The sequence below is a fragment of the Homo sapiens genome, chromosome 11 (assembly GCF_000001405.40).
Source record: "Homo sapiens chromosome 11, GRCh38.p14 Primary Assembly".
In the NCBI taxonomy this organism is placed as follows: domain Eukaryota; kingdom Metazoa; phylum Chordata; class Mammalia; order Primates; family Hominidae; genus Homo; species Homo sapiens.
In genome coordinates this window covers 25,038,302-25,057,828 of record NC_000011.10, presented here as the reverse complement: position 1 = coordinate 25,057,828, position 19,527 = coordinate 25,038,302, and the positions used below count along the sequence as shown (strand labels likewise).

At 35.1% G+C, this 19,527-nt stretch overlaps 1 protein-coding gene across 5 annotated transcripts in view, besides 1 other annotated feature; it reads right to left on the bottom strand.

Annotated features, from left to right (window-relative positions):
• Positions 1-19,527, bottom strand: part of LUZP2 (leucine zipper protein 2) — a 585,586-nt gene that overhangs the window by 24,810 nt on the left and 541,249 nt on the right. For all 5 annotated transcript variants that reach the window (NM_001009909.4, NM_001252010.2, NM_001252008.2 and 2 more), the window contains one exon: positions 7,699-7,791. In NM_001009909.4, the coding sequence (NP_001009909.2) occupies positions 7,699-7,791 (93 nt within the window). The remainder of the gene's footprint in view (positions 1-7,698; positions 7,792-19,527) is intronic.
• Positions 18,385-18,566: a silencer, noted in NCBI's record as "fragment chr11:25060809-25060990 (GRCh37/hg19 assembly coordinates)". NCBI's record gives its function as "represses an EF-1alpha promoter that drives an FKBP-Casp9 reporter gene in an ReSE screen in HepG2 liver carcinoma cells {active_cell/tissue: HepG2}" and the evidence as "EXISTENCE:reporter gene assay evidence [ECO:0000049][PMID:32094911]".

Below are 19,527 nucleotides of genomic sequence, written 5' to 3'. Positions count from 1 at the left end.
ATATTTTTATGTTGAATAGACTCCCTTTGGTAAGGGACTTGCAAGCAGATGTAATGGCAGGAAATTGAGCTAGTGCTCCCGGTGCTAAACATAAGCCATCCTTGTTTTTCATTTCCTCAGCACAGTAAGAAAAATTAAATGTTTGCTACTTATAGGAGTCAGAAACATTGCAAAACACGTTTACATTGAATATTAACTCTTAATTCCTAAATGAAAATTAAAATACAATGTTCAATGTCTTTAATTCTTGATATGCTATTAAACAATATGAGGCACATTTGCAAGCTGCAGGAAAATGGGATGGAGTAGACACATCCTTTGCTTTCTCAATGTGACTCCAATATTATCATTTAAACAACGCAGCTTTTAGAGTAACTTGTACATACCCCAAACTGATAGTCGAATATGCTGCTAAGAATTTAGTGATCCATTTCAAGTTTCTTAAGTCTTCTTTAAAAAGGAACAAGGAATCTGAGGGCCATTTTCTAAGTGACCCTGCCTGGTTTACATAGGGCATACCATAGGCAGGAAGTGGAACAAAGCAACAAAGATATCTAAAAATAAGCATGTTTTATAATTCCAAGTTTGATTCTTAGGCCACAGAATATTTTGAGACTTTGAGTATTAAAACTTCAGAGCTGCTTCTTAAAAGGAGCTAATAAGGATATCTATGATATGGTTGAATGTGACATATTTAATATCTATATATTTATATAATAATCATAATAAACCTGCAATAAATGAACAACAAAATTTCTCAAAGTGCAGTGGCACGATCTCAGCTGACTGCAACCTCTGCCTCCCAGGTTCAAGTGATTGTCCTGCCTCAGCCTCTCCAGTAGCTGGGATTACAGGCGCCTGCCACCACGCCCAGCTAATTTTTTGTATTTTTAGTAGAGATGGGGTTTCACCATGTTAGCCAGGATGGTCTCGATCTCCTGACCTCGTGATCTGCCCACCTTGGGCTCCCAAAGCGCCGGGATTACAGGCATGAGCCACGGCGCCCGGCAATTTCTCAAAGTGTTTAACATGAAATATTGACAGAAGAAAATCTACGTGGGATTATTACAATAATACACATTCCTGGGCTCTTTACCTGACCAACGGATTAATAATACATGGGAATGGATCTTGAGCATAAGCAGTTTTACCAGTTGACTTGGTGATTCTTAGTATGCTAAAATTTGAAAAATCTTCATCTACCTTATATTGATAAAGGGATCTGAATACAAAGTCCCTTCCCAGAGCGACAATGTTAGGAAACAGCAAAGTCAATATACACATCTAGGTTTTATGTAATTCCCATGCTTTCTCTTCTGTTACTCAGTCTCAGGTATGACCAACAGGAATCAAAATGCATAATCTTTCTTATCTATTTACTGAGAGACTGCATGGGGTCCTATCAGCTGTCAGGGTGGTGAGGTTGCTGATAATTATAGAATCCTGAAATTGAAAGAGATGCTAACATGATCAGTCTGTCCTCCACACAAATGCCTCAATTCCTGACTATATTCCAGAATGGCTGTTTTTCATTATTCTATTATATATTATAGTACTTCCGCCAACTGCTAATTCTAGTTTCAGATACTTTTCATTAAGAGTTCATTTTTATATTTGACTAAAATATTATTCTTCCTATAGCTGTTTCTACTAGCTGCATCTGGTTCTGCTGTGTAAAGTAGCACTGAATAAGGCTACTCACTATAAATACATTACAAATACAATTACAGTATTTAAGGTTGCTTTGCTCATATTTTAAGTTTTTTCATTTGATAAATTAATTAAAGTATATAATTCAAAATACTTATTGAGGTTTTTTGTGAGAGGCATAGCTTTCATAAGGGAATGGAAAGTAGTAATTATTGAGAGCTTGCTGTGCTAGTCATATGCTAACTGTTAAGCTGGGCTATCTCACTGGATCCTTTGGATGAGTTATATTAAGCAACAGATATTTATCTCTCTTTTTCAGAGGAGAAAAAACAGTCTTAAAAGGGTTAAATATTCATGATTACACAGCTGGAAACTGGTTGAAACATAAATTAACACAAACCTTCAATTCTAACTTTTTTCTTCAGCCTTCTATCTCAAGCATTAGAAAACACTTTCCATTCGTCATTGTTGAACCTCAGAGTGTTATTTCTAAAATGAGGCAGAATTTATCGGTCTAGACTGATAAGCGAAATTAGATAAGAGATGTGTCTCCTTTATTCTGGATGTAGCATCGTAACTGCTTAAAATCAACACTGCAACTACCTATAGGTGGTGTGCAAATCTCATCACAGTTTTAACTCAGAGCTCACAGTCAGTTAAAACTCCTCAATCTGATAGATCAATATACAAAAATTACTTGCATTTATATATATAGCAATTAACAATCTGGAAATGCAATTAAAATACTACATTTGCAATACTATGAAAAAGAGAAAAGTACTTAAGAAAAATAAAGACAAAAGAAATGCAAGACTTGTACCCTGAAAAACTATCAAACATTGCTGAAAGAAATTTTAAAAGATTAAAGTAGGCCAGGCACAGTGGCTTACGCCTGTAATCCCAGCACTTTGGGAGGCTAAGGCGGGTGGATCACAAGGTCAAGAGATCGAGACCATCCTGGCCAGCATGGTGAAAGCCCGTCTCTACTAAAAATACAAAAATTAGCTGGTCATGGTGGCAGGCACCTGTAGTCCCAGCTACTCAGGAGGCTGAGGCAGGAGAATCGCTTGAACCCAGGAGGCAGAGGTTGCAGTGAGCCGAGATCGCGCCAGGGCACTCCAGCCTGGTGACACAGCGAGACTCCGCCTCGAAAAAAAAAAAAAAAAAGAAAAGAAAAAAAGATTTAAGAAAATGGAGAGACATTCCATGTTTATGGATTGAAAAAAAAACAGTATTATTAAGACAATGTTTTGGTCTTATTATTTGCAAAGAAATGTAAGGGACTCAGAATAGCCAATACAATCTTGAAAAGGAACAACAAAGTCACAGTACTTTAAATTGTAGACTTCAAAACTGATTGTAAAGCTACAGTAACCAAGGATACCTGTATAAAAACATCTCATGTTTTTATCTCATCCCATAAATATATACACCTACTATGGTAACCACTAAAATTAAAAATAAAAATCAAAACAAGAAAATACGGTATTAGCATAAGGATAAATCAATTAAAAAATTGAAAGATGAGAAATGAACTCATGTTTGTGTCAGTTATTTTTTGACAAAGATACTAAAGAAGTTCAATTAAAAAAAGATATTCTTTAAAAATGTGTTATAAAGACTAGGACAACTGAATAACAACATGCAAATAATAAATGCAAAACCTTACCTAACACCATCCACAGACACACACAAAAAATTGAAGAATATTGATCTAAATGTAAGAAATAAAAGCACACACGTTATATGAGAAACCATAAGAAAAAAAATCAGTGTGCTTAAACAGGTGAATAATTCTTTAGATATATCAAAAGCATGAAGAATAAAATGATGAGTTGAACTTTATTGAAAATAAAAGCTTGTGTGTTTCAGAAGACACAAATTAGGACTTCAGGTTCTGCTCTGACACATAAAGGTCTTGGAAGTCTCCACTTCCACCTTCACAACAAGCAAAAAGCTGAACAGACTGATAATCAATAATTTTTCTTAGATGTATCAAAGAATTAATGTTACAGAAAAACTACCACCCCAAAAACTGGTGAGACCGTGAATACAGAGAACACAGACAAGCTACCTAAGTGAAAGCTGCTGGAGCCAGTAGTTGATGGGAATATTTATGTAATATCTTTAATAAATTTCTGGAGGCCGAATATGGACTAGCATGAAATACAAAAACTCCAAGAGGCTTAGTTTAAGGTAAGGTGAGCCCTCATTACTGAGAATTTTACCTTTCTGAGAACCATGAGGTTTTAATGGTGAAGATGGGAGAATAGAGAAGCACCACTCATGTTTGTTCAAAGGGGGAAAGAATGTACCAATTTTTCAATATAAGCATAAACTTATCATCAAACCCAGCAATTCTACATCTTGGTGCCTACTCAACAGAGATTAAAACATTGCCATACAAAGTGGTTTATGCAAACGTTCATAGCATCATTTTTTCATAATAGCTACAAATTAAAAATAATCCAAAAGACAGCAATTGGTGAATGGATAAAGAAATGTGGTACACCACACAATAAAATGGTTTTCAGCAATAAAAAGGTACAAACAAATACAAAAAGAAACCATGTTTTTGGTTGCCTGAGGCTTAGTGTGGGGATGAGGACTCATTGTATTAAAAAAAAAAAAAAAAAGGCATGTGGGATCATATTAGGGAGATGAAAATGTTCTGAAACTGGATTACAGTCCTGGACTCAGCAAATGGGATGAATGATTGAAACATACACTTATATGGGTGAATTTTTATGGTATGTAAGTTATATCTCAATAAAGCTTTTTTAAAATTATATATTTCAAAAATAATTAGCTTCATTGTGCCTTTCACCCATTCTAATTATTAACAGAGTACCAATCTCTTCTGTTCAGAAGTAAATAGAAAAAAGTTAACCAAAAATATCTCCTACTCTAGTTTTCTTTCTTGATAATGATGATGTAATTATTTAAGCCAATAAAACATACATTTGGGGCTCATGTTACACTTCATCTTTATACCTACATCTTCATTTGATCACAGAATCCTGGGGCTCTCTCTTTGAAACAGACTTTTCATTGTTTGTTCCCAATTGTTTCTGTGATTGCCTAGATTCAGGTTCCTATTTACTCTCTCTTTAATTATTTTTAAAATTTGCTGATTCAGTGGTTTTTGGATTTCTGAATTCATTACAACTGAAAATCAAGTTAAAACAAGAAATAGGAATAAAGTTACTATCAATTTTATTAAGGACATTAAAAACAAAGTAAAACTACATTATATCCTACTTTTTGTCCTTGTTAAAAACTAAATAGCATTCATTCAATATCTGATTAAAGGAAAGTCATATAAAGGCATAGGTTAAGATCCTAAAACACACCCCAAAATAGACAAAATATAAAGGTAGAAATGTGATAAAGAATTTTATTTTGTGATTTAAAAAAATGAAATTAAGTTCTGCCTTCTTATTCAGTTTGGACACTCAATAAAGCAACCCAAATTGCAGCTTAAGTCTCTAGACTGGTAGTCAGTATTTTGATACTGCTACATTAAAATGGAAGCAATACATTTCACAATATTTAATGCAAATCAGAATATTATGGCTAAATTTATACAAGGCAAAAAACAGTCTCTCTAGTTTTATTTATTAAAAATTTCCAGATGAATTGCTCAGAATCTGACTTTCTAAAAGCTCCCCAGAGGGTTCTTATGAATGGGAAATCTATTATTAGTGAAAAATGACCTACATATTTGAATCATCTGGATGAATCAAAAAATTAACACAACTAATGTCTAGACCTTACCTACTGAGGTGCTGAGGTAATTTTTCTGCAATGGGTTGTGGGCATCAGTATTTTGTAAGTACTCTTCGGTTGACACTATTCTGGAGACAGAGCTAAGAAGTACTGGTCTAGAACTTGAAAACTGATGTTCATGCATGTCCCACTAATTCCGATTACTCACACCTGGTTTATGTCACTCATTGTATTACTTTCTTCATTATTATCTATAATTGAATCTGCAGGCTCTGAATACTGAGCACTCTATGTACTAAAAGGTGTAGCTTCTTAGGAGTAGAGACTCCAATACAAAAGTCTAGAGGACAGAAGTCAGGTTAGTGAAATAACATTTATATTTGTTCTGGTGGAGGCAGCTTTTTGAAGAGCCCCAGGTCCAGACTGAGACCAGAAACAGATAGTATCTGCTTCTGGAACTCACTGAGGACAGAAGAGTTATCCCTGACAAAGGAGAACAACACAAGTAGAAGAGAGAAACAAATAACATATGAACAAATCAATTTATGATTTGAAGGAGGCTTCAATAAGAAAAGTAGACCAGAATGTTGCTTTGAGGAATCCTAGCAAACCACACATAAATTTTCTATTTTGCCTCCAATGAGAACATGTTTTTATGTAGTTTCAAAAATATATATCAAGAAATAAAAACACCATCCTTAGAATTAACACCATGGCCTTATCACTCGATTGAATACAAACATTTGAAAACCTGAACTAGCTCCCTTGTTCAAATTAAATTTCTTAGCTTGGGAATCCAGGGCCCCTCATTCTCTAGTCTTCAATGATTGCTGTAAGCACATATCCCGCCATTTTGTGTACTGTTTTTTAGCCATACTGCTGTGATATTTTCCTGCCTCTGCAAATTTGCTCACTGTCAAAGACCTACCCGTGCTTCAAACTATAGTAAAAATCTTCCTTCCTGCCCAAAGTCTTTTTGACTCTCTCCTCCTTTGGAAGTAAATTTCAAGCATTTTATTTATACTTCTTATTAACATTATGCTTTAAATTGTATAGTTTGGATACATGTTTAAATAAACAAAGAGTTGAAGGCAAAACTGTTGAGTAATTCATTTTTCTTTTTTATTTTTTTTGAGACGGAGTCTCGCTCTGTCGCCCAGGCAGGAGTGCAGCGGCGCCATCTCGGCTCACTGCAAGCTCCATCTCCCGGGTTCACGCCATTCTCCTGCCTCAGCCTCCCGAGTAGTTGGGAGAGTAATTCATTTTTCTAAATCCACTTTGGCAGCCAGAAGAGAAAAAAGAGAACACTTGTTTAACTTACTTTTCTATTCCTCCTTATCATCATTATATATTTTTAGCTGCAGCCTGATTTCTTTCAAGCATAGTTTCATCAGACACTTTTCAAGTTGGATTAAAGCCTAATTTTGAACACAATTGTTGTCATTTGCTGTTCTCAAATCTAAATGTAATAGATCCATTAGCTCAATTTTGCCAAAGTTCAAAAAAATAAAATTCCATTGCACTTTTAAAGAGTGAAAAGACTCATTGAACAAATTCCATATTTCCTATCATTTGAAGGAAATGAATCTCCCTTCCTCTACAATGATGTCTCTGTATGCTGAGTGTATTTGCTTTACATGGAGAAGTACATCCTATAAGGTTTTTTGTTGGCTTTTGTTTTTTACATTTTAACAGCTTTCTTTCATGTAGCTGTGGGAATGAGCACCTTGCTTAGCCTGTGGTCCTCCACTTACCTCTCTAAAAACTCATATTCACAGTTGTCCTAAGAATCTAGTTGCAATGCTTAATGGAACACTTACCTGATTCATAACAAAAGAACATTTACGGCCAGGCTCAGTGGCTCATGCCTGTAATCCCAGCCCTTTGGGAGGCCGAGGTGGGCGGATCACGAGGTCAGGCGATCAAGACCAGCCTGGTTAACACGGTGAAACCCCGTCTCTACCAAAAATACAAAAAATTAGCCGAGCGCGGTGGCGGGCGCCTGTAGTCCCAGCTACTCGGGAGGCTGAGGCAGGAGAATGGCGTGAACCCGGGAGGCGGCGGAGCTTGCAGTGAGCCGAGATTGTGCCACTGCACTCCAGCCTGGGCGACAGACCAAGACTCCGTCTCAAAAAAAAAAAAAAAAAAAAAAAAAAAAGAACATAAAGAACATTTACTTTCTTATATTTAAAAGTACAATCCTTAGATAGTAGATATTACATATAAATAGTTTCATGGTGGCATGAATTAGAATTGCTAAAATGCTTGTGCTTTTTTCTCCTGTCTAATACTGTAAAAAGCATCTTAAGTTTTTCTTACATCTTGAGAGTCACAGGCAGTGGTACTTGGATTTCCTTCCTTTGTTGACTCAACTTGAGAGCTCTCATTGTTTCCAGAAGCACTTTGTTGAGGCTTAAAAGAGACGAAGAGAGATAGAAAGAAAGAAATCACTAAATACAAGAGAAATAGTTTGAACAAATAGATCCAAATCGTTTTATTGTAACACATGATATAATATTATAGCAACATTACAATCAAAATAAAACAAGAAAATGGAAATTTGTATATATCAGAGACCATAAAATATACCTTGAAAAATTCTTAACTTTGAAATTAAATAAATAAATTATATTTAATTTTGCATTAGTGATGTCCATTGGGATTATTTTCTTACTGAAAATATTTATTTCTTCCATGGTAAGATTTTATTTTAAGGATTCTAGTCCCCCACAAAGTATATATCCTGTCCTTTCTTTTTATTTTAACCCCCAGTATATAGAGAAATAATATGTGAATAAGAAAATAACTGATTTTCTCGATAGAAAGAAAATGATTCGTAACACTTCATAATATACATAGTGGATTATATTAACTCCAATATGTATACTAACTAATCAAACTCTGCTTTATATTTCCAGAAACCCTAAATATTATTCTAGAATTCATCTCTCTAGAAACACAATTGAAAATAAAAGAAGAGAATAAAGAAAAGAAAAGAAAAGAAAAAGCTGTTTCCTAGTTCTGGTCAGAGAAGGGTATGCCCTAATTGTTGTATAGAAATACCGCTATAGGTAGGTTTAAGATTATCCATTCAAATGTGTATGTGTTTCTTGGGAAGAGCTAATTTGAATATTGGTGTTTCACTCAGCTCCTCAATCCCTGAGGGTACTGTTTTAGGGCACACAAAATAAACTAGTAAATGCTAATTTGCCTGAGTCTGAGACTTTGATCACACTGCTTCACAGGAGAGGAAGAAATTAGGTTTCTATCCATTAGGGGTCGAGGAAAACTAAGACAGGGTCTGGAGAGAGTAGTCAAATCTCACCCAGGTATTTTTACCTGCGCTACTTTCTACACAGCATTCTCCTGGTTTTTCACAGGCAAGTACGTTCTTTAGCAGGAGAACATTTTTACAAAAACAATATCTTTATAAAACTAAACTCCAAGAATAGTTAATAAAGCTGATAGAATATTAAATGTAAAAAAGAACATGAATAAAGCAACTAGAATATTAGAAAAACAATAGAAAATAAAGTAACTGAGTTCACTAAAACTGATCCTATATAAAGTCACCCAAATGCTGGGCTCTGGGTATAATAATAAATAAATAAATTAATTAATTAAATAAATAAATAAAAAGTAAATACATTCTTCTTAATTTATACCTAAAGAAATTTAACTTCACTGGGTGAAATCCAGAAGGCATTTATTGTTTTCCACCTCCCATACTCTCTTTTTCTTTCCTGTCTTTCTTTTGTTTAGGAATCCTACGTCTGACCTCCCCTCTAATTTCTCTAGGATTAAAAAATAATTAAACAGGAAAACAAAAGTTATTCTTTCTAATCCTATTAAATTTATTCAATAAATTTGCAGTTGCCCTTTAAATCAAGCCAATGAACAAGCCAGTGTTCTGTTTTAGATGCCTTTGGTAAATACAAAGATGACAAAGGTAGCATTTGGGTCTTCATAGAGTTCACCTAATCTGATTGTTATTCACATAAGTAACTCTAATATAAAGCTTATTAAGTGCAGGGAGGCAGAACAGACTTGTGTATATTTTAAAAGAATCATGGTCAATTCCATTTGGGGTAATAAGAAAAGTTCTAGTGAAGAGGGTTATTTTTGAAGTGGGTTGCTGAATAACTATGGCAAGAATGAGGGAGGCCATCCAGGTGAAGGAAAACATTTAAGCAAAGAAACGGAAGAATGAGACTTAGTTGTTGGCTTGTTGGTCTATAGGGTAGAAGGAGCAATAAGCATGATTTAAAATACTAAAAAGTAGAGAGGAGATCCCAAAATTGAGCTACAAATTTTATACTTAATTCAGCAGCCAAAGGGGGGCTGGGTGCAGTGCCTCAGGCCTGTATTTCCAGCACATTGGGAGACAGAGGCTGGAGGATCTCTTGAGGTCAGGAGTGCAAGACCAGCCTGGATAACATCATGTGTCTCCTGTCGCTACAATTTTTTTTTTAATGTGGTAGTTTACACCTATAATCCTAGCTAATGAGGAGGCTGAGGCTGGAAGATGGCTTGAGTCCAGAAATTCTAGGCTGCAGTGAGCTGTGATTGTATCACTGCACTCTTACCCGGCATAGGGTCTAACTTAAACAAAAATACCCAAAGCAGGGGTCCCTTGGATATTTCAAATCAGAGGTATGATATGGCTAGAGCCCCTGTCAGCATGATATGGCAACAGTACATAGGCAAAAATGAAACAGAAGAAAATGAGAGTGGGAAACTAATACAGAAGCAATTAAAATGACCAGGTATATGGCAACAACAGCTGAACTGAGATGTCAAATCCTGGTGATGGAAGAGATTGAATAGTAATTGTATGTTCTGAACAAGGGTTAGAATCTATGCCATTTGAAGAATTCTATGTAATATAGAATTCTGAAATATAGAAACTGAAGAAAAGGTATGTTTTTAGCAAGAAGGGCAATTTTATATTCCTAATCGAGAGTTTAAAGCACTCGCAACTCCTAATAGGTAAGTATTATTGGATACCAGTGTTAAAAACAATACCATTCTTAGAGTATAATAAAAAAAAAATTAAAAAAAATTAAAAAAAATAAAAAAAAGAAAATTAAAAAGTAAAAAAAAAAAAAATAAAAAAAATAAAAACAATACTATTCTTAACAAGAGTCAAAACAGCTATTTATTCTACCTAAGATCTACTGAACATCCACCACCTGTCTTCCCATAACCACAAACTTGCAGATGCTTTGAGGAAACAGGTTAAAAAGAACAAGAGTAATAAATAAATAGTAATACTGGAAGTCTCCCCTGGCAGTCACAGCCAGAACCACAGCTGCAAAATCATGAAGAATGGATTGAATCACACTAACAGGCAAGGGACAATTTCAATGTATTTTGTTTCTAAACAATCAGATGACAGAATAAATAGTCCCAAAATTTCCTTGCAAATTTCTTTTCACATATAGTGGCATTAAAGGAAATTAAAAAATAAAACACATCCATTATTCTAGAAAATCTACTTTTATTTCTGTTACCCTCCCAGTCTTTGTTAATATCCACATAAATTAATATCTTACACAGTCACAATTATTGTCTCCATGCCATTTTTATTCTGCTTTTACATATAACATGAAATGATGCTATATATGGTTTGTATCTATACTTTACAGGTCTAAAAAATTATAAGATTTTAAAAAATGTATATTATAGTTGATGATTTTTTAAATTTTCAATTTTGAGTTTTATAGATAATATTTTGGTGAACATTAACCTTCTTGGTACCAGTCTGCATAACTCATATCATTCTAATCACCGATCCAAACATCAGGCTATTATAGGCTTGGGGCTCCTTAAAGGAAGATAGTGTGTGTTATTCATTGTTTCATCTTGGAAGCTAGTACATATTTTTCATTCACAATTTTTTGTTTCCTTCTCTTTCCTTTTCATCATTTATTTATGATTTTTTTAGGATTAAGAGAAGGTAAAATTAGGGTCAGTACTGAAGCAAGGGTAGTGGACATGTTTATTGCTGGAGAAATCTTTCTAAAATGTAGCAATTTAAATTGTATTTCCCAATATGAATAAACAAATATTTATTATGCATCCGCTCTACAACAGTATTATGTTTAGAACTGAATCAAATATTTGAAACAGATCTGTATCTCAAAGAGCTCCCATTTGCTCCTCAGTAGCTGCTCATCTTTCCTTCTACCTTCCTAATAATCATTGACTCATTTTTTTTTTTGGAGGATTACTTTTCTCTCATGGTATGGTATATCCCAAGCATTGTTTTGTGCATTTAATTTCCTGACCAATTCAAGATATGGGCACATACATAATCCAAGTTAGGTCATTAGAAGCCTTGGAACTTAGCTGACCAGATTCAAGACAGGCTACCAATGGTTAGATATGTTAATTTCAGCAGTGTGTCTTGTACGAGTTGTTTCTACAATAAAACCATTTTTGTGATTCATGTGTCCCAATCTAATGAAGCAAAGTTTATTTCTGCCTGTGCCCAGGCTTGTTTCTCCCATCTTCTTGCTAATACTATGAGTTATAATGGTCAACCAAGAAATCTCCTTTACTAAAATTGGTAAAGATCAGTATTTTTTGCATGTAACCACAGAGGCCTGGATGATACAGGGAATCAAGTCAATAAAGTGAAACTGACAAACAAGTTCTGAGATAGTGTTTTACCATAAAAATTACCAGAAGGAAAACATCAACCAGTTATGAAAGCTCAAAAGAGTAATAACAGGCTCAGCAATGATGGAAATTTGATTTTAGCATAGATATTCAGTAAATTCCTAAAAATAAAACTATGTAGCAGATGGATCCTTTTCATGCTCACTTAATTATGTTTTCTCATGCAAATATTGTGCATTTATTAAAATGTGCCCAGATTTTGAAAGTAAGGCTGAGGCAAAGAATATACTGAAAATAAATTAATTATCATCTATCCATAATTTATTCTTATGGGACTTTGACATTTTAGATGGAAGATAAAAGGGGCTTCATTCACTATTAAGTTCACACAGAGCAAGGAGAAAAGAATGACGGTGTAACTTTCTTTTTTTTTTTTTTCAGTTATTCTTTACGTCCTATTCTGTGAATTAATGAAAGGCTGTCCTTGTGCTCATCTATCAGAAAACTGGGTTGTCTGGTTTACTACTGTTTTTGTACCAATACTGATGCTATTCCACTTAATTTTGCTTTAAATCATGTATATACATTAATTACTTTCATTTTTTTTCTTTTATTATTATTCTACTTTAAGTTTTAGGGCACATGTGCACAACGTGCAGGTTTGTTACATATGTATACATGTGCCATGTTGGTGTGCTGCACCCATTAACTCGTCATTTAGCATTAGGTATATCTCCTAATGCTACCCCTCCCCTCCCCCCACCGCACAACAGTCCCCAGAGTGTGATGTTCCCCTTCCTGTGTCCATGTGTTCTCATTGTTCAATTCCCACCTATGAGTGAGAACATGTGGTGTTTGGTTTTTTGTCCTTGCGATACTTTGCTGAGAATGATGGTTTCCAGTTTCATCCATTTCCCTACAAAGGACATGATCTTATCATTTTTCATGGCTGCATAGTATTCCGTGGTGTATATGTGCCACATTTTCTTAATCCAGTCTATCCTTGTTGGACATTTAGGTTGGTTCCAAGTCTTTGCTATTGTGAATAGTGCCGCAATAAACATACGTGCGCATGTGTCTTTACAGCAGCATGTTTTATAATCCTTTGGTATATACCCAGTAATGGGATGGCTGGGTCAAATGCTATTTCTAGTTCTAGATCCCTGAGGAATCGCCACACTGACTTCCACAATGGTTGAACTAGTTTACAGTCCCACCATTAATTACTTTTAACAATAGGAAGAAAATATGCATTTCTTCATGAGTGTGAGCACAAAAGTATAAAAGTTAATTTTTTAAATACAAACACATAATATTTAATTAATGAACTGCTTGCTTTCAAAAACAATAAATGTCATCCTTCATACATGCCTTTGCCATCAGTGAGATGGCTCCTTGTGGAAAGAAGCCTTATTGAAACTGATTAATTAACACCAGAATGATAACTGAATTTAGGGAAAGATGATGTATATTGGAGTGAAAGGAATATGGATTTCAATTCTGGATCAGTATTTAAATAAAATGGGCATCAGACTATATATATATATATATATATATATATATATATACACACACACACACACACACACATACACATACACACACATATATATATACACATACATATATGCATATATATGTGTGTGTGTATATATAGAGACACTATATCTATAGTATATATACAGCCTCAGACTACATATGTATCTGATATATATAGTCTATATATATCAGATATATATATAGTCTTATCAGATATATATAGACTCTATATATATCAGATATATATATAGACTCTATATATATCAGATATATATAGACTATATATCAGATATATGTAGACTATATATATCAGATATATATGGACTATATATATATCAGATATATGTAGAGGACTATATATATATCAGATATATGTAGAGTACATATATATATAGTCTGAGACCCATTTTATAAAAATGAACAATGAAATGACAACAACAAAAGCAAAAAGCACACTGCAATTTATGTACTTTTTACATAATGTGACAGATATATATATACACACACTATATATATTATATATATACCACACTATGTATATTATATATAGTCTGATAAATATTATATATGTATATATTGTCTGATATATATGATATATATACATCAAGGATTATGAAATATAATCAAGAGCTAGGAAAATGAGTCTCTAGTACATTATAAATTACTAGAAGATGGAGTAATTTAATCAAGGATATATATATATCATATATCCTGGATACATATATCCTTGCAGAGCTTCTTTTTTTTGCAGCTCTGTCACATGATGTAAAAAGTACCTAAATCGCAGTGTGCTTTTTGCTTTCGTTGTTGTTGTCATTTGTTTGTTTGTTTTTAGGAAGGGAGAAATTGAATATGAAGTAGCGTCTGGCATCTGTTACACAGCTATCGCTTGAAGATGTATGATTTACTTGATTCTTACTCTAGGGAGGTGTGGATTAAAAAAAGATTGACCACTGTACTGGGCTAAATGGTAGAATGTGGAGGTCCCCAAAAGATATGTCAATGTTCTACTTTATATGACAAAGGATTTGATGATATTAAGGCTATTCAGATGAGTAGATTACCCTGTGTATTAGTCAGCTTGGTCTACAACAGAAAAATCAGAGTGAGTGGCTTAAAACAACAGAAATCTATTTTCTCCCAGTTCTGAAAGCTAGAAATCGCAAATCGAGGTCCAGCAGGATCAGTTTCTTATGAAGACTCTCCTCCGAGCTTGCAGATGGCCATCTTAGAACTATTCCCACAGCACAAAGGAAACAAGTTCTCTGGTTTACTTTCTTACAATAACACTAATTCTACCAGATCATGCTCCCACCATTATGACTTCATTTAACATTAATTACTTTCACAAAGGCCCTATACCGTGGTGGTTATAGCTTCAACATATTACTTTTGGGAGAACAGATTTCACTCCATAGGATCCTGGATTATTATGTTAGCCCTAAATGCTATCACAAGTGTCTTTATAAGATAGAAGAAGAGGGAGATTTCACACAGAAACATGGAATAGAAGGCAAGGTGGTAATGGGGGCAGATATAGACAGCCACAAGCCCAGGTATCCCCAGACAACTACCAGAAGCTGTGAGAGGCATAGAATGGATTCTCCCCTAGAAACCCTAGAGGAAGTATAGTCCTGGCAGATTTCAGATTTCTAGCCTTTAGATTTGTGAGAGAAAATATTTATGTTGTTTTAAGTCAGCAAGTTTGTGGTATTTGTTACAACAGCAATAGGAAACAAAAACAACCACTTCTTCCAGTAATTTATAATGTACTAGAGACTCATTTTCCTAGCTCTTGATTATATTTCATATTCCTATGCAAGGCAAAATAATTTAATATTCCCTCATCAAAGTATCCAAAGTTTCTCTTAGCTTTTCTGATAAAAAGTTTGAAGCCTACATCTTTTAAATGGTACTCAAAATTCATGTTAAACGTTATGAAAACTTCAATTAAATTAACTGTTTTGTAAATGGATGGAATAAAAATTCCCAAGAGGATAATTATAAAATCAAGAATTCCAGAATAAATGAAATATATTAGTCTTTTTCTTGTGCCATTAAAAAAAATAGCATGCATATTACATAAGTGGTCTTTTTTCTAATTTAACTTGATTTTTTCCATAGTCTGTGCATATTTTTAATATATAACATGAGGAAATTTTAACAAATTGATATATGAAGTTTTTTCCTTGCAGTGCAAATATACTGAAGTGGTGGTCCCCAACCACTTGGCACCAGGGACTGGTTTTGTGGAAGACAATTTTTCCATGAATGGGGAGACGATGATTTCAGGATGAAACTGTTCCACCTCATATCATCAGACATTAGATTTTCATAAAGAGCACATAACCCAGATCCCTCGCACACGCAGTTCACAATAGGGGTTCCCCTCCTATGAGAATCTAATGCTGCCACTGATCTGACAGGAGGCAGAGCTCAGGTGGTAATGCTTGCTCACCTGCTTCTCACCTCTTGCTGTGTGGCCGGCTTCCTAACAGGCCACGGAAGAGTACTGGTCCATGGCTGGGGACCCCTGCGCTGAAGAATACTCAAGGAGAGTAAAAGTGGCTGACATAGAAAAATCCCTTTGATCCTCGACCCACAAGGGTCTTCAAAGTGATAATAAATTGTGTGTGTGTGTGTATAAAATAATACATATTACATATATAAGATACATATCACTTTATATACGTATATAATCAATTCATATATTTCAGCTGATTGGTAAGCACTTTAAATGCAACATTTTATTTAATTGTCTTAAAACAGAATGAGATGGATTTTATTTCTGACCAAGATGAAGTAACAATAATCACATTTACAGTAATACCCCTTATATATGGTTTCACTTTCTATGATTTCATTTACCTGAGGTCAACCAAGGTTTGAAAATATTAAGATATTTTGAGAGAGAGAGAGTAAGAAAGAGAAAGACCACATTCACTTAGCTTTTATTATAGTATATTGTTTTAATTGTTCTATTTTATTATTAATTATTGTTGTTAATATCTTACTGTGCCTAATTTATAAGTTAAACTTTATCATAAGTATGTATAGAAAAAATACAGCGTATAGAGGATTCAATACTATCCAGTTTCAGGCATCCAGTCAAGGTCTTGGAAAATATCCCCTGCAGATAAGGAAAGCTACTGTTCTGTGCCACTTGAAACCATGAAAAAAATGAACAAAATATAAACAATGGTATTAAGAAAACTGACAACAGGTAATGAGGGACAGTGGTTCCAGAGAGAAAGGACACAAATGAAGGGCACATAGCCTGTAGCCACTAGATGCCAGAATGAGGGCAGTCAAGAGCTAAAACAGTGAGAAATGATGGGTACCAAAGATCAATTTTGGTAGCGATACAATTCTTCCAAAGTCCACACATGCAGTGGACTCTCCAGGAATCAAACCAGGGGCTATAGTAAGGATCATGCAGATGAATGAAATGATTGGAATAGTCATTTTGTTTAACTGACTTCATTTAATTTCCTAGAGTCCTGACAAAAATGAGATCATCAACTTCTTTAAAGGCAAAGACAATGCCCCTTTCATCTCTACAACTCATCACATTGAGCATTAAGGCTGACAAAAAGAAGATGCTTAAAACATCACAGAACTCTTGGGATATTGCAACTGAAATCTATGAGACAGATATTATTAGCTCCATATTCTGGGTGAAAAAACAGACTGAGAGGTCCACTGAGTTAGGAGAATCAAATAGCGTTTGGATTATACAGCTAATTATTTAACCCATGCTGTCAGATTCCAATCTATTTGTTCTTTGACTTCCACCTTAATAGGTATTGTGATTTTCTACTTGTGTGAAAGTGGTTGACAGAATTTGTTACTGTTCACCTTGAGTTCCCTCTTGAAATCAGATTTATGTAATGATTTCCCCAGGGGTATTCTGTGCTATTGGCAAAAAAAAAAAAAAAAAAAATCGGAAAGAAAGAAAAGTGGCTCTCTACAGAGAACTATGCATATACAGTATAGTTTGCTAACATATACTTTAATTTTATTAAAGCTTGCTTTATGGCCAAGCAAGTCATTGCTTTGAGAAAATAAAACACACATTTAATGGGCATGAAAATCAAGTTCTGTTTGGAGCATGCAAATGCTCATATGCATTTATTGAATTAAGTTTGCCAAATATATTATTTTATTCTTCTATGATTTACTAATTTTGGTCTTCTAGAAATTTCTGTTGGTTTTATATATTTATAGGTTGTTAATAGATAAAATAAAGTCATATAGAGGGGGTGTGAGGGTGGTCCACCCATGATCCTCCCAAAATCATGCCTTCTTTGACTTTAATTCATGCATATAAAACGAGAAAAAGTGTGATCAGAGAAAGTGTCTGTAGTGATATCTAAAAACAATTTTTCAAAAAAGATGACCTACAGAGTTTGAAAAAAAATTTTAAAGGACAATACTTGTCCTTGCTCTACCTGCCTCTCTCTTCTCAGGGAATAGAGATTTGCTGCAATAAAAAATTTTAAAAATTACAAAATAAAAAAATAATCTGTTCCAACTCTGAATGGTGCTTGAGGAAGATACGAGTGAAGGGACTGGGGGACTACTCATCTCACTTTGGACCTCTAGGATCTTAGTTGCAGGAGTCTCCATACCCCCATGGACATGTGAGCTGGCAGGGGGATCTCCCCAGGTATTAGACAGAGATGGAGCTGCAGCACACATGGATTTGGGTACCTTTGAGTATGGGTCAGCTCCGGCAGAGTTGGGCCATAAGCGCCCTCCCACCAGAGCTCCTATCTCCCTCTAAGAGGCTTTAGCCCCAGCTAACTGCCATGGATAAAACACTGCCTGATTCCCTGCAGGACTGGGGCCCATCAGTCCTACAGGCCTACCTGCCTACCAGTACCACCTAGGGCCTATGCCTGGCTACCCCACAGGTGCATGTACACAGTGTAGCCTCAAGTGCACAGCCTGGGTCCTTTGCTCCACCTGAGTGCATTTTGGCAGCCTGAAAGCCTTTTGCATCCCCCAGTGTACCCAAAACCCAACCCCAAGGATCCACAGAAGGGAGCTGCAAACAGGTCCTAGAATCCCAGGGCTGTGGCCACTAGTTCAGGTCCAATCCCCAAGGGAGCCCCAACACCTGAAAGATCTAACAACAACAATAACAAAAATTGCAAGTACATTTCCAGTGACCAGAGGTATCTTTCTCAAACCCCAAGACCAAGGAGCGGACCTGGTGAGGGGGGTTACCTCTCTCCTATTTACACCACAGAAAACAGCTGTGAATGTGAGGATATGCAAAGATGCTGTGCGGCTAAGAGCTTATCAACCACCCATTGCTCTCAAGTATCCTCTATTGGATTACAGTCCAAATATAGCACCAAAAATCACTTTACTAATTCTACCCCCTGCAAAACCAAGAGCAAGAATTCAGCAACGAAGACTTTGTACAGAGCCTTAGCTCTATGAAAGCTTCCAGAAATAAAGCCAACTGACTATATTCGATTTACACCACAGTTAAAGAAATGCTAGCCCTTCCAGATGAGAAATAGTCAGTGCAAGAACTCTGGAAATTCAAAAAGCCAGTGTCCCCTTACCTACAAATGAGCTCACTAGCTCCACAGCAATGGTTCTTAATCAGTCTGAATTGTCTGAAATGATAGACTGGAATTCAGAATCTGGATGGCAAGGAAGTTCAATGAGATCCAGGAGAAAGTCGAAACTCAGTTCAAGAAAGCCAACCAATTCAGTACAAAGATTTAAGAATAGAAAGATGTAACTGCCATTTTTAGAAAGACCCAAACTGAGCTTCTTGAGCTGAAAGAAAATTGTGCAATTTTGTGATATGTGTGATTTTGACTCTTTCATCCTGTTGTTGCTGGTTGTTATGTAGACTTGATTTCATAGTTGTTTTACAGTGCCTATGGGCCATGAGCTTAAGGATATTTTTGTGGTAGCAGGTATGCCTGGTACAGGAATTTCATAATACAACTGTAAGTATTA